Here is a 16,302-nt window from a genome sequence, read left to right on the forward strand (position 1 = left end):
CCCAAAGTGCCAGGATTATAGGCATGAGCCACCACATCCAGCCTGGGTTCTTTCACTTAGCCACTTAGCATAAAGTTTTCTTTCTTTCTTTCTTTCTTTCTTTCTTTTTTTTTTTTTTTTTTTTTTGAGACAGAGTCTCGCTCTGTCGCCCAGGCTGGAGTGCAGTGGCGCGATCTCCGGCTCACTGCAAGCTCTGCCTCCCGGGTTCACACCATTCTCCTGCCTCAGCCTCCCAAGTAGCTGGGACTACAGGTGCCCGCCACTACGCCCAGCTAATTTTTTGTATTTTTAGTAGAGAGGGGGTTTCACCGTGTTAGCCAGGATGGTCTCGATCTCCTGAACTCGTGATCTGCCCGCCTCGGCCTCCCAAAGTGCTGGGATTACAGGCGTGAGCCACCGCGCCTGGCCCTTCCTTCCTTCCTTCCTTCCTTCTCTTTCTTTCTTTCTCTCTCTCTTTCTTTCTTTCTTTTTTCTTTTCTTTTTTTTTGAGACAGAGTCCCTGTCATCCAGGCTGGAGTGCAGCGGTGCCATCACAGCTCACTGAAGCTTCAAACTCCTGTGCTTAACCGATTTTCCCATCTGGGATTCCAGAGCTCTGGGATTGCGGGGATGAGCCACTGCACCCAGCTAGCTTACTGTTTTCTCTCTCTCTCTTTTTTTTTTTTTCTTTTTATTTTTGAGACAGGGTCTCACTCTGTCGCCCAGGCTGGAGTGCAGTGGTGTGATCTCAGCTCACTGTAACCTCTGCCTCCCAGGCTCAAGCGATCCTCCCACCTCAGCCTCCTGAGTAACTGGGGCTACAGGCACACACCACCACACCCAGCTAACTTTTGTATTTTTTTGACAGAGACGGGGTTTCACCATGTTGCCCAGGCTGGCATAATGTTTTCAAGGTTCATCTGTGTTGTAGCCTGTATCAGTACTTCATTGCTTTTTATGGTTTAATGAATAAATAAAACATAAGTTCATACCACGTTTATTTACCCACTCATCAGCTGAGGAACATTTATTTGGGCTGTTTCCACTTTTTGGCCATAATGAATAATGTTGCTATAAACATTCATGTACAAGCTTTTGTTGGAAAATATGTTTTTAACTCTCTTCGAATGGGATTGCTAGGTCACAAGGTAACTTTTTGTTTTAACTCTGAAGAACTGCCAGATTGTTTTCCAAAAATTGTGTACCATTTTACATTCTCATCAACAATGTGTAAGGGTTTGATTTCTCCAAATCTTTGACAAAATTTAGTATTATCTATCTTATAGCCATTCTAGTGGGCATAAAATGGTATCTATTGTGGTTTTGACTGGCATTTCCCTGATGGCTAATGATACTGAGTATCTTTTCATGTGTTTATTGAACATTTGTAGGTCTATCCCTTTGTCCACTTTCAAAATTGAGTTATTTGTTTTTTTATTGTTGAGTTGTGAGAGTTTTTATATTCTGGCTACAATTCTCTTAAGATATATGATTTGCAAATATTTTCTTCCATTCTGTGGGTTGTCTTTTTACTTTCTTGATGGTATTCTTTGGAACGCAAAAGTTTTACTTTGATGAAGTCCAATTTATCTATTTTTTAATTTTGTCGCTTGTGCTTTTGATGAGATATCTGAGAAACTGTTGCCTAATCCAAGGTTTTGTTGATTTACTGCTATATTTTCTTCTAAGAGTTTTATAGTTTTTAGCTCTTAACATTCATTCATTATCCCTTCCCTTCATCTTTAGTTTATCATCTCCTAAGGGTAAATGCAGTTTACAGCAGATTTGTTTGGTGTAATCTTCTCTATATCATCTGTTGCTGTCTTTATCCTGGGATGAGCCATCTCCTTAATAAAGCTGTTCATATTTAGTTCTGTGAAACAGACATTCATAACTTCAACAACCTTTGCCTTCCATCCTGTCAAAAAACAAACACATATGTAATAAAATATGCTTTCCAACTTCCAGTCAGCTTTGTCTGCCCTACCACAGACAAAGACTGGAGTTCCTCCAGGCATTGACAGCTTTGGAGGTGGTTTGAAGGTTGGTGGTTTAAAGCAGGACCATCTCCTGTGACCTAAATCCTGAGGAAGAAAGAATACAACTGCAGAACTCTTCAGAGGGGCCCTTGCTGCTTGGCAAGCTGTCACCCCACCACAAACCTGACCACCCAGGGCCCTTTCTGCATCTGTGGCCCATTGTTCCTGGGGTTTTGATTATTCAGTTGAGCCATTGTCTGCCAAGATGTTTGGGTTTGGAAATTTTTCATTATGCCTTTGAGAAAATAATATCACACTTTCTCTCTGAATTCTGTATTCATTGATCTTTGTAAGTTGGGGGCAAAATTAGTTTTTGTTTCCTTGGGCATTGGATATGTATGGTAGTTGATCCCCTCCAAATGGTGTATTTGTTCTCGTATTTGTTGGCAAATCTTTAACTTTTTATTTATCTGAATCCCTTCCAAAACAAGAAACAATTCACTTTAAAAAAAAAAATCAGACTTCTTTTTTTTTTTTTTTTTTGAGACGGTGTCTCACTCTGTCGCCCAAACTGAAAAGCAGTGGCATGATCACAGCTCAGTGCAGCCTTGACCTCAGCCTCCTGAGTAGCTGGGACTACAGGTGCGTGCCACCATGCCTGGCTAATTTTTTTGTATTTTGTATTTGTTTTTAGAGACAGGGTTTTGCCATGTTGCTCGAACTCCTGGGCTCAAGGGATATGCCCGCCTTGGCCTCCCAAAGTGCTGGGATTACACGTGTGAGTCACTGTGCCCAGCCCAAACTATTTTTTATCTGGTTAAGTTTTCTAGGCACTCCTGGAAGAACAGGGCCAGAAAGAAAGACAGTTTAAATCTGACATGTCTTTGCATATGAAGCCATTGCTTTATTCTTTTTTGAATCAAACCTCCCCAAACAATGTAGTTAGCAAGAGCTACATTTATACATTTCTATAATGAGATAATCACTTCCCCTAAGGGAGAAGCAGCTAAAATCTGGCAATCCAAAGACTTCATTTTCTAGTCAGTCACTCCACACAATACATAGACAGCTCGATCACTTTTCCAAGGGAGATTTTTGAAGCTGATGTGCATCTATTTTCTGTTATCTAATAAATTGAAATCACATTCATTATTCAAAGAGTCGTGACTGTGTGGCCGGGCGCGGTGGCTCATGCCTGCAGTCGCAGCACTTTGGGAGGCCAAGGCAGGCAGACCACTTGAGGTCAGGAGTTTGAGACCAGCCTGGCCAACATGGTGAAACCTCATCTCTACTAAAAATACAAAAATTATCTGGGTGTGGTGGCTGGCGCCTGTAGTCCCAGATACTAGGGAGGCTGAGGCACGAGACTTGCTTGAACCTGGGGGCGGATGTTGCAGTGAGCCAAGATCGTGCCACTGCACTCCAGCCTGGGCAACAGAGAGTGAGACTCTGTCTCAAAAAAAAAAAAAAAAAAAAAAAAAAGCCACTGTGTGAGGGAACCTACAAAAGACCACAAAGCACTTGGCTGTCAAAACTCCACAGCCATTCAGAAGTGTGGATCCAGGGAAGCACTTGGTCCCTTCACTGTTGATTTGTTCACAGAAATGCCAGGCCCTCTGGTCAGAATAGCATTACCAGATCTAAAGCCCAAACAGTGGCATGGGTCTTGGCCTTGGCCCATCTCAGTGAGTGTTAGGATGCTTTAATGGAAATAACTAGGTTAATAACATGTATGTAAATTTTATTTACCATTGAGCCCTTAAAAGATACCAGTGAGGTGTTATTGATCCAGTTGAAATGAAGCAGCTATAAAATGATATGTATAGTATGAATAAATCTTTTAGTAAAGTGTTTGTGTACAAAAAGAAATACATTAAAATGTTTTATCCAGGTAATAAAAATGTGTTTTTCTCATTTTATACTTTTCCAAAAAAGTTTTTATAGTAAGTATATTTTTACTTTTATAATCATAAAGAAAGAAAGTAGGGTAATTCTATTTTGAAAAAAAAATTAGGTCGTTACTTTTAACTCAATTGCATGTTCAGAATTTTGAAAATATGCAGCCAAGAGCACATATTTGAATCGCTGCTCTGCAGAAAAACTTAATAATCAGCCTTAATGGCTATGAAGCAGGCGGGGCCCAGCCCTAAATTCCAGGTCACAGGGCAGTTTGCCAGGGCAGCCGGCTAACATAGGTGCTTCTGCCCCCCCATGGGCAGCTCTGGAAAGTGCAGGCTCTGGCCTGAGCGTTTCTCCAGGGATAGGACCCTGGAGAGATGAGTGTTTCAGAACCCAGAGACATTTGGAAAAACTGGCCTCACTGCTCAAAACTGTTCTGGAAGATCTTAAAATGGAGCAACTAATCATGTAGCAATCCTTTCATACTCCCTACACTCGTATTCAACATATATAGTTATTTTAATTTGCACACTTCGTTCTAGACACTGATGTATGTGTAGAATGTACAGATCAAATTATAAATTTCTTTTTGTGTCTCCCTGCCATTAAAAAAAACACAAAACTGTGGATACATAGTAGGTATTTCCCTGCCATTTTTATAGTACAAATTATATTGTATTGTACTAATTATATTGTATTGTACTAATTGTATTGTACTTTTATTCTTTTTAATTTTATTTTATTTGAGAGAGAGATTCACTCTGTCACCCAGGCTGGAGCACAGTGGCACGATGACAGCTCACTGCAGCTTCGACCTCCTGGGCTCAAGTGATTCTCCTGCCTGTGCCTCCCGAGTAGCTGGAACCATAGGCATGTGCCACCATGCCCAGCTAATTTTTGTATTTTTAAAATCTCCCTATGTTGCCCAGACTTTTGTTATTCTTTTATTTTTATTTTATTTTATTTTAGATGGAATCTTGCTCTGTCACCTAGGCTGGAATGCAGTAGCGTGATCTCAGCTCACTGCAACCTCTGCCCTCCCCACCCCGGGTTCGAGCAATTGTCCTGTCTCAGCTTCCTGGGTAGCTGGGATTACAGGCGTGCACACCATGCTCAGCTAAGTTTTGTATTTTTAGTAGAGACAGGGTTTTGCCATGTTGGTCAGGCTGGTCTTGAACCCCTGACCTCAGGTGATCTACCTGTCTTGGGCTCCCAAAGTGCTGGGATTATAGGCGTGAGCCACTGTGCCTGGTCACTTTTTTTATTCTTTGACTTGCTTCTTCCTCTATAGATATACCCTGGCAGGGTCAGGACCAGAGTGAGGCAAGCAGAACCCTCTGTGACCCTGAGAATGGCCTCCTAGCACTCTGTGCCCCTTCTCGGTACATGCAGGTCCACCTCATTCTTGTTACTCCTGCATAGTATTTTATGGTAGAAATGGAACACCACTAACCATTTCATTTTCAATTTCTAGTTGTTACTAAAATGCTGTGTTGACACCCTAATAGATGTCTTTTTTTTTTGAGATGGAGTCTCGCTCTGTCGTCCAGGCTGGAGTGTAGTGGCATGATCTCAGCTCACTGCAACCTCCACCTCCCGGGTTCAAGCAATTCTCCTGCCCCAGCCTCCTGAGTAGCTGGGATTACAGGCGCACGCCACACACCTGGCTAATTTTTTATATTTTTGGTAGAGACAGAGTTTCACCATGTTGACCAGGCTGATCTCAAATTCCTGAGCTCAAGTGATCCTCCCGCCTTGGCCTCCTAAAGTGCTGGGATTACAGGCGTGAGCCACTGCACCCAGCCAGATGTCTTTTTATGCATGTAGTAGTTATAATTTTTACTTTAGCATGTATACATTTTATTTTACTTTTTTTAAATGGAGAGTGGGTCTTGCTCCCTCACCAGGCTGGAGTGCAGTGGTGCAATCATGGCTCACTGCAGCCTTGACTTCCCCAGCTCAAGCAATCCTCCCACCTCAGCCTCCGAATAGGTGGGACTACAGGTTTACACCACGACACCTGGCTAATTTTTTAATTTTTTTTACTGAAGATTAGGTCTCAATAAATCGCCCAGGCTGGTCTTGAACTCCTGAGCTCAAGCGATCCTCTCGCCTCAGCCTCCCAAAGTGCTGGGATTACTGGCGTGAGCAGCTGCGCCCAGCTGTATTTAGCATTTTATACCTTGTTTGAGGCCTTCCGTACTTGGAGGTTATAATACTATCTCCCTGTACTTTTTTTCTTTCATTTTGGACCTCAGTCGAGTTAATCTGCTCCTCAGCTCCTCAGCTCACATTCCTCATGGTCAGCATTGGTCTGTGTGAGACATATCTTTGTCTGTTTATTCCCTTTTATCCCATTTCCCATTCCCATCCCCCCAATACACCATACACAACACAGTAATGCATTTGATAGGTTTTATAGCATTTGCATGTTTCCTTATAAAATATGTGGCCGGGCGTGGTGGCTCTCGGGCCAGGCACGGTGGCCGTTGTAATCCCAGCACTTTGGGAGGTAAAGGAGGCCAGATCATGAGGTCAAGAGATCGAGATGATCCTGGCCAACAGGGTGAAACCCCATCTCTACTAAAAATACAAAACTTAGCTGGGTGTGGTGGCGCGTGCCTGTAGTCCCAGCTACTCGGGAGGCTGAGGCGGGAGAATCACTTGAATCCAGGAGGTGAAGGTTGCAGTGAGCCAAGATCATGCCACTGCACTCCAGCCTGGGCGAGAGAGCGAGACTCCATCTCAAAAATATATACATATACATATACATATACATATACATATACATATACATATACATATACATGCATATATATGCATATACATATACATATACATGCATATATATGCATATAAATAAATAAATAAAATTTTTTTTATATATATGTATTTAGGTAAATGATATTGTGCCACAGGCCTTATTCTGACTGTCTTCTCTCAGCACTGTTTTACAGCCCTTCCACATAGCCATGGTACCCTCAGTTTCTTGATTCTAACTGCTACCCTCATCCCTTCCCCCAGCATCGAGCCCCTGGAGCTTTCAACTCCCCTTACCACAAACAACCCTGTAATGAACAACCTCATATATGGTCCTTTGTGAGAATTTCTGAGGACTATTTTCCCAGGATTGCTTACATTTTCTTCTAATACTCCTGCAGTTTGTTTTTTCTTCTATTCATATGCCTGCCCACGTTTGGTTTATCTGAGCACATCTAGCTTATACAATGATTTTGACTCTATTCTTTTTTTTTTTCCCTCTTTCTCTAGTCACACCTGCTGGAACAGGATCTATTAGTTCTTGAAATTTTCCATTGGCAAAATCACTCCTAATTTCCACTTAGACCATGTTTCTTCAACATTCTATTATATTTATTTTTAGTTTATTATTAATTATTTTTTTGAGACAGTGTCTTGCTCTGTCTTCCAGGCTGGAGTGCAGAGGCATGATGGTGGCTTACTGCAGTCTCACCCTCCTAGGCTCAAGCGATCCTCCCACCTCAGCCTCCCAAGTAGCTGGGACTACAGGCCTGCACCACCACACCTGGCTAATTTTTCTATTTTTTTATAGAGATGAGGTTTCGCCATGTTGCCCAGGCTGGTCTTGAACTCCTGGACTCAAGTGATCCATCCGCCTTGGCCTCACAAAGTGCTGGGATTACAGGCGTGAGCCCCCACATCAAGACTACATTCTATTTAAGTTAGTTTTTGTTTCAGTTTTTGGAATCTCAGCTTCAGATTTGTGTTAGTAATAAAACAACTTAGGTTTGGTGCCTCCTAAAGCAGACCCTGAGACAAGAACTTGGGTGACAATAGTTTACTTGGGAAGATATCCAAGGAAGACGGGGAGGGAGAGAGGAGAGTGATACAGGAAGGACGGAAAGCCAATGAAAGATACATTACTGAGCTGGGTTGTCACTGTGGACAATTGGCTCAATCTCCCTGCACACTTTTGAAGAACCATATAGAAACCACCCAAAATTGTCCTGCTGAAGTGTGAGAGGTTGGGACATTTATCCAGCAACCTTCATCTTCCATTGGCACTCTCCCACTCCCCTACTACCCAGCTCCCGCCCCTTTCTTCTGTGGCTGTATCTGCAAGTTGGACTGAGCAAGCTTCCAAGCTGAGGAGAAAATTCTGAAGCAGAAAAGCTGAGAGACTCCACTGGTGCTTGAGACGTGAAGCCATCAGCATGCATAGGAGCTGTTAGCCACAGCTGCATCACAAGCCACAGGCCTCAGTTCCAGTTGATCTACAGCAATCCTGTGGGCATGCACACCTTTGCTGTTGTCTGACCTACTTCTTGCCCTGCACCTTCCTATTCATGTATTGACTACACCTGACCTCTCTATCCTGACACAGTGAGACCCACTCAAACCGCTTCTTGGGCCTGATCTAGGTGAGCAGCCCCTCTGCCTCTCTGGCCCAGCCTCTCCACTTACCCGCTCTGGCAGGCCTTCAGCAGCCTGCCCTTGGAAATTTTGCACTTTTCCTTTTGCCAGTAGATATGTGGCTCTCATTTCTTTCCTTCTTTTCCTCTTCTCTCCCATTTACACTTTGATCTTGTCAGACTCTCCAATGGCATTATCAAGCCCTACTCAGATCATTGGCTTACCCTGACACAGAGAAAGTGCTCACACTCAGCATCAAATAACACAAATAAGAAGGATGCCCAATACTATTTGAGCACTTACTAAACGGAAAGCGCTGTGTGAAATGTGATTCAGTCATTATTTTATTTTCACAACAGCCTGATGAGGTCAGTACTCTCATTATGTCGATTTCTCAGAAGAGGAACTGCGGCTGGGAGAACGTGACTCATCTAGCTGATGGAGCTGAGGTTCAAGTGCAGGTATCTGGCCTTGAGGACTTACTTTTGACCACTCTATCACCAGTTAGCTTAGCCATTAACTACCAACTGATCCTCGGAGACAGGACCTCATTTCTTCTCCTTCTTCTTTTTTTTTTTTTTTTTTTTTTGAGACGAAGTTTAGCTCTTATTGCCCAGGCTGGAGTGCAATGGTGTGATCTTGGCTCACTGTAACCTCTGCCTCCCAGGTTCAAGCGATTCTCCTGCCTCAGCCTCTCAAGTAGCTGGGATTACAGGCACGCACCACCCGCCCAGCTAATTTTGTATATTTAGTAGAGATGGGGTATCACCATGTTGGTCAGGCTGGTCTCGAACTCCTGACCTCAGATGATATACCCACCTCAGCCTCCCAAAGTGCTGGGATTACAGGCATGAGCCACTGTGCCCAGCGGGACTTCGTTTCTTGTATGTGGGTTTTGACCTTTCAAGTAGAGTATAGCACCTTGGCTGGTTTGTTGTTGTTGTCTATATGGATTTTTTCTTTTTCATTTTCTTGGTTCATGGTATTACAACCATGTGATGCTTTTTTTAGGGCTAACTTAATGGATTTCTCTCCACCAATCTCTTGATACTAAAATTCTTTTTTTTTCTTTTTTTTTTTTTAAGACGGAGTCTTGCTCTGTCGCCCAGGCTGGAGTGCAGTGGCCAATCTCGGCTCACCGCAAGCTCCGCCTCCTGGGATCACGCCATTCTCCTGCCTCAGCCTCCCAAGTAGCTGGGACTACAGGCACCCGCCACCACACTAAGCTAATTTTTTTGTATTTTTAGTAGAGACGGAGTTTCACTGTGTTAGCCAGGATGGTCTCAATCTCCTGACCTTGTGATCCGCCCGCTTCGGCCTCCCAAAGTGCCGAGATTATAGGCGTGAGCCACCGCGCCCGGCATGATACTAAAATTCTACAATTAGAAATTAATTCCTTTGTCCCCACCTCACAGTTATATGGGAGAGACTACATGTTAATCCTTCTCAGCCATTTATACCTTAACATGAGTGAACTTCTAATCCTTTCCTGAGAGGTGGTTTTGGAAGAGGAGACAGGGGAAAAGCGTGAATGCACTAAGCCCTGATTAAAGGGAAGCCCCCTGATGCCATCACCTTACAAAAGCTCTTGCACAAGGGTATCAGGATTTAGGTGCAAGAATGTTCTTGGCAGCATTGTTCATAATAGGCTCAAAACAGAAACAATCCTATCTATTTTTTTTTTTTTTTTTTTTTTGAGACGGAGTCTCGCTCTGTCACCAGGCTGGAGTGCAGTGGCGCAATCTCAGCTCACTGCAACCTCCGCCTCCCGGGTTCAAGTGATTCTCCTGCCTCAGCCCCCGCAGTAGCTGGGACTACAGGCGCCTGCCACCAATCCCAGCACTTTGGGAGGCTGAGGTGGGTGGACCACGAGGTCATGAGTTCAAGACCAGCCTGGCCCAGAGGGTGAAACCCTGTCTCTACTAAAAATACAAAAAAAAAAAATGAGCTGGGCATGGTGGCAGGTGCCTGTAATCCCAGCTACTTGGGAGGCTGAGGCAGAGAATTGCTTGAACTCGGGAGGCGGAGGTTGCAGTGAGCCAAGATCGTGCCACTGCACTCCAGCCTGGGTGACAGAGAGAGACTACGTCTCAAAAAAAGTAGAAAAAGAATGAAAGAGATGCATCGTAGTGGATTCATACAATACAGCAATGAAAATGAGTGAGCTACGGTGACAACCAGTGAGTTAGTTGTTTGAATCCCACAAACATAACATTGAGGGAAAGAAGCATGATACAGAAGAATGTGCACAGTGGGAATCCACACATATAAAATTCAAATACAGGTGGTAGATTATAAAGAACAAGAAGGAATTAACATCATGAAAGTTAGTATAATAGTAATTCTGATAGGAGGGAGATGGTTGTGATCACTCAGGGGATGCACAGGGAACTTCTTGGGTGCTGATTATTACTATTTATTTTATTTTATTTTATTTTATTTTTGAGACAGAGTCTTGCTCTGTTACCCAGGCTTGCGTGCAATGGCACAATCACAAGTCATTGTAGCCTCAACCTTCTGGGCTCAAGTGATCCTCTCACCTTAGCCCCCCAAGTAGCTAGGACTATAGGCACGTGCCACCATGCCCAGCTAATTTTAAAATTTTTCATAGAGACGGGACATCACTTTGTTGCCCAGTCTTGAACTTCTGGGCTCAAGCAGTCCTCTGGCCTCAGCTTCCCATTGTGCTGGGATTACAGGTATAAGCCACCATGTTTGGCCATTATTATTTCTTGACTTGAGTGTTGGTTACACAGGGGGCTGCTTTGTAATTATTTTTTAAACTGTCCAAAGATATTCTATTCGTTTTTCTTTTTTCTCTTTTTTTTTGAGACAGAGTCTCGCTCTGTCACCCAGGCTTGAGTGCAGTAGCTCCATCTCAGCTCACGCAACCTCTGTCTCCAGGGTTCAAGCAATTCTCCTGCCTCAGCCTCCCGAGTAGCTGGGACTACAGGTGTGCACCACCATGCCTGGCTAACTTTTTTGTATTTTTAGTAGAGACAGGGTTTCACCATGTTGGCCAGGCTGGTCTCAAACTCCTGACCTCAGGTGATCCACCCAGCTAGGCCTCCCAAAGTGCTCAAAGTTTTCTATGCATTTTTCTATATGTATTTTTCTATATGTATGTTGTATTTTACTATTTTGAAAAGCAAAAATAAAGGAAGAAAGAAGAGGAGGGAAGGCAAAAGGTAAAAAGAAAGAAAGTAAGGAAGAAAAGGGAGAAAGAAGGAGGGAGAGAAGAAAGGAAGGAAGGAAAGGAATGCCAGCTCCTCAATCCAGACCTCATTTGTTTGTATAGCTAATCCAGATAAGGTTCTGGGAGACCTGGAAGAGAAGTGGTCAGGTTTTTGGGACAAATGGCACATAGCATCTGTGAATAATCAACTGTGCTAGATACTGCCAAATAGTTTTCCAAGTGACTGAATCCAATGTATTCCCTCCCCAGCCATGTATGAGTTCCCATTGTTACACATCCTCTTCATCATTTGATATCATCAGGCATAAAGACATCTTATTGTTGTTTTAAGTTGCATTTTCCTGCTAATTAATGAAGTTGAGCGTCTTTTAAATATATTTTTCCTCTTTTGTGAAGTGTCTATTTTTTTCTAGTGGGTTGCTTTTTTTTTTCATATTGATTCATTGGAGTATGCATTTTGGATATTAGGGCTTTGCTGGTTGAAAGTGTCTTTTTGATGGCTTGTTGCCTGTGTTTTTATAAGTAGGAGGGGTGGAGGCAGCAGGGGCCCACCACCTCTGAATTCCTTTGCCCACTGTTTGGGTGCCTCGGGGAATTTGCTCAGCCTTCATGGGCAGCGGTTGCCCTTTCTGACGCAACTAGGAATTCCTGGCACCACGACCAGGGGCCCTGCTCTCCCCTCAAGAGGCAAGCTGCCCAGGAAGCCAGGGAGGCCCCTGTGAGAATGACAGTGTGTGTGCTGTGCACACAGAGCCTGTTTTGTGTTTTCTTCCCCTCTACTCTCTTCCATTAGCAAAGAAAATGGAGTTTGGGCGCTGTGTCAACCACGTAAACTTTTACTTATACATCAGTGCAGAAAAGAACAAAATAGGAAAGGACTGCATGGTCGGCCAATTTCTGACGCCCTTTTTACTAGCCTGGATTTTAAGTCTAGAACACAATAGTAGAGGCTACCTAAGAACATTAAGGCAGCTGTGCCAGGGCAGAGAGAGGAGTTCCCATCTTGCCAGGGGCAGTCACATCACCTGCATCAGCATGTGAAGCAAACATAAAGAATGTCACTAATGGGCTTGGAGGTCATTAGCAACCCTGCCTAAAATACCTATCTGAATAAGGGACTGGCTCCCAGCAGGAAGTGAGGGGTAACTGAGTTGTTTCTAATAGTCCGTTCCTATTATCCTATGCTAATTCTCCCTGAGAGGAGGCTTGGCTGGTAAGGAGGGAGTGGTGGATCCTGAATTTATGATCATTTAAACAATTAATTTTTGCATATGACAGGGACAATAATTTTTGAGGTATAATTAGTCAGTTTCTCCCTGTTCCCTCCCAATCCCATTCTTTCCCCAACCCCAACCTCTTGAGGAAACTCTTGGTTTGTGAGTCATTGAGACTCCAACATTTGTGGACCAGTGCGGACTTGGGGTTGGGACTTGGGGGCACGCACCCACAGGGGCGCTGGAGCCTTTGGGGAACTGAAGAAAGATTTAAACAATTTCCTTAAGGGTGGAATTTTGAAGCTAGAGAACTTGCTGTTGGTTCAGTAAGGTAGCTCCTTCCTCAATTTCGTCAATCAACCTTCTGAAAGAGATTTATTTTTATTTTATTTGAGACAGGGTCTCGCTCTGTTACCCAGGCTGAAGTGCAGTGGTGCCATCAAGGCTCACTGCAGCCTCAACCTCCTGGGCTCAAGTGATTCTTCCGCCTCCAAGTAGCTGAGACAACAGGCACATGCCATCACACCTGGCTAATTTATATATATATATAGTTATATATATAGTTATATATATATAGTTATATATATATTTATATATATATAGTTATATATATAGTTATATATATATAGTTATATATATAGTTATATATATATAGTTATATATATAGTTATATATATATAGTTATATATATATAGTTATATATATAGTTATATATATATAGTTATATATATAGTTATATATATATAGTTATATATATAGTTATATATATATAAATATATGGTTATATATATAAATATATAAATGGATGGTTATATATATACGGTTTTTTTTGCTTGTTTGTTTTTGGTAGAGACAGGGTTTCGCCATGTTGCCCAGGCTGGTCTTGAACTCCTGGGCTCAACAGATCTGCCTGCCTCGGCCTCCCAAAGTGCTGGGATTACAGAGGGAGCCACCACGCCCAGCCTGAGAGAGATTTAGTACAGGCTTTGTTACTTTCAAAGTTGTTTGGAGTCAAATTGGCTTTTCTTTTGACCAAGATGCAGCACTGATGTAGGCCTTGGGAAGGAGATGGGGGCTCAGATGTATTAGGGTGACACTGGTGTGCTTCTCTTTATCTGCTCAGCATCATCTTAAACACAAACAACACTTATTCATCTGGTATAGCTGAACAGGATGTAAAGTTATTGAAAACCTGGGACCCTTGGGACCACCCCTGAGCTTCCCCACAGGCACAGCCAGAGGCCTGCTCCAACTCTAAGACCGGTGACTGCTTGGGTGTGAGTATCTCCTTGTTATACGTGAAGTTGGTTTTTGAATCTAAGGGTAGATTTATTTTTTTTGAGACAGAGTCTCACTCTGTTGCCAGGCTGGAGTGCAGTGGTGCGATCTCGGCTCACTGCAACCTCTGCCTCCCGGGTTTAAGCAATTCTCCTGCCTCAGCCTCCTAAGTAGCTGGGACTACAGGCATGCGCCACCACGCCCAGCTAATTTTTGTATTTTTAGTAGAGACGGGGTTTCACCATGTTGGCCAGGACGATCTCAATCTCTTGACCTTGTGATGTGCCCACCTCGGCCTCCCAAAGTGCTGGGATTACAGGTGTGAGCCACCACACCCAGCTGGGCAGATCTTTAAATTTAACTTTATCCAGCCAGGTGCGGTGGCTCACACCTGTAATCCCAGCACTTTGGGAGGCCCAGGCGGGTGGATCAGTCACCTGAGGTCAGGGGTTTAAGACCAGCCTGGCCAACATGGCAAAAGCCCGTCTCCACTAAAAATACAAAAATTAGCTAGGCGTGGTGATGGGCACCTGTAATCCCAGGAGGCGGAGGTTGCAGTGAGCCGAGATCACGCCACTGTACTCCAGCCTGGGTGACATCACTGACATTCCAGCCCCTGTCTCAAAAAATAAAATAAAATATAAATAAGTAAATTTAACTTAATCAAGTTCAGTCCATTGTTCCATTTTATGAGATCTGTTTTAGTTTGGGTTTTCTTGGAAGCCAGCCATGAGATAAGGAGTTGATCCCAGCACTTTGGGAGGCTGAGGCTGGAGGACTGATTGAACCCAGGGGTTTGAGGCTCAGCCAGGGCAACATAGGGAGACCCTGTCTCTACAGTTTTTTTTTTTTTAAATCAGCCAGGTGTAGTGGCTCATGCCCGTAGTCCGAGCTATTTGGGATGCGGAGGCAGGAGGATTGCTTGAGCCCGGGAGGTCGAGGCTGCAGCGAGCCATGATCCAGCCAGTGCACTCCAGCCTGGGTGACAGAGAGAGACCCTGTCTCAAAAAAAAAAAAAAAAAAAAAAAAAAAAAAAAAAAAAAAAGGAGGGGGGGGATTTGAATGCAAGTAGTTTATTTGGGAAGCATCCCAGGAAGCATCCCTGAGATGGGAACTGGAGGAATGGTGGGCCAAGTTGCTGCCCCACACCAACAAAGGAAGTCAGCAGGGCAGTCACGAGGTATGTGAGGCTTTCAGAGCATTATGGCCACTGCTTCACTTCTGCTGTCCAAATTGCATGGAATCTTTCACTTGTAGCCAAGCCTAACTCATACACTATGTGGGAGGGAATTCTGGGAAATGTAGTTCCAGTTGAGCTATATCTACATAACTTCACTGATGAATGCACAGAGAAAACCAGTCTCAGTACCCAGGGCCAGACCTGCAGAACGGGTATTTTGTTTTCCATATCAATTGAGTTTCTGCCTCTGTGCCCCAGTCGCACAGGCAGGCAAATATTTAACTTTGGTCATTCCTGATGTTTGGCACTTTGCAATCAGGCAAAGATTCCACAATCTTACCCAATTCCAAGTTGGATGTGGCCTTCTGACACTGAGTCCTGCCTGGCTGTTGAAGATCCCTGCAGAGACATTGTCCCTTTCCCAGTAGCCCCTTCAGATCTGCTGACACCTTCGTTTCTACGCCCACTTGGGACATGAGACTTGTTTGCAAGATTGAGGGCCCCAATTCCTTTCCTCTCTTTGGCTTTGCCACCTCCTTGGGGCCCTTTGGCTTTGCCACCTCCTTGGGGCCCTGCCAGGAAGCCAGGACTGAAGGAAATATGTTCCCTTCAACTTTCTTTTTTTTTTTTTGAGATGCAGTCTCACTCTGTTGCCCAGGCTGGAGTGCAGTGGCGCCATCTCGGCTCATTGCAACCTCCGCCTCCTGGGGTCAAGCAATTCTCCTGCCTCAGCCTCCTGAGTAGCTGGGATTACAGGTGCCCTAGCCTCAAGTGATCCATCCTCCTTGGCCTCCCAAATATTGGGACTATGGGCGTGAGCTACAGCACCTGACCCCCTTCAATTTTCTTAAAGACACTTCTGTAAAACTCTTGAAACTTTTCCTTCTCTTCTCTTTGCATTTCTATCGCAAACCTCCTACATTCTCCTAAGGACCTGGTAAAATAGAACAGAAAAGATTATCTCCCTTTTCTTGTTAATCCATCTTTTGTTATAGGGGGGTCAGCCATGAACCTAGCAATGAGTGAGGAAAGATGTTATCTTTCTCCCCTACAGAAGCATAAATGAAAAAGACAATTTTTTTTTTTAAAGATAAGTTCAATCGGGCCGGGCGCAGTGGCTCACGCCTGTAATCCCAGCACTTTGGGAGGCCGAGGCGGGCGGATCACGAGGTCAGGAGATCGAGA

At 43.9% G+C, this 16,302-nt stretch overlaps 1 long non-coding RNA gene across 1 annotated transcript, besides 1 other annotated feature; it reads right to left on the bottom strand.

Annotated features, from left to right (window-relative positions):
* Positions 1-963: 963 nt before the first annotated feature.
* On the bottom strand, positions 964-8,540 carry LINC02274 (long intergenic non-protein coding RNA 2274). Its single transcript, NR_135238.1, has 2 exons — positions 8,301-8,540; positions 964-1,897 (listed from the first exon to the last, which is right to left on the bottom strand). It is a non-coding gene; the product is annotated as a long intergenic non-protein coding RNA 2274 (long non-coding RNA).
* Positions 14,473-14,651: a silencer, noted in NCBI's record as "fragment chr14:74302771-74302949 (GRCh37/hg19 assembly coordinates)". NCBI's record gives its function as "represses an EF-1alpha promoter that drives an FKBP-Casp9 reporter gene in an ReSE screen in K562 erythroleukemia cells {active_cell/tissue: K562}" and the evidence as "EXISTENCE:reporter gene assay evidence [ECO:0000049][PMID:32094911]".

Source organism: Homo sapiens, chromosome 14 (genome assembly GCF_000001405.40).
Source record: "Homo sapiens chromosome 14, GRCh38.p14 Primary Assembly".
Lineage (NCBI taxonomy): Eukaryota > Metazoa > Chordata > Mammalia > Primates > Hominidae > Homo > Homo sapiens.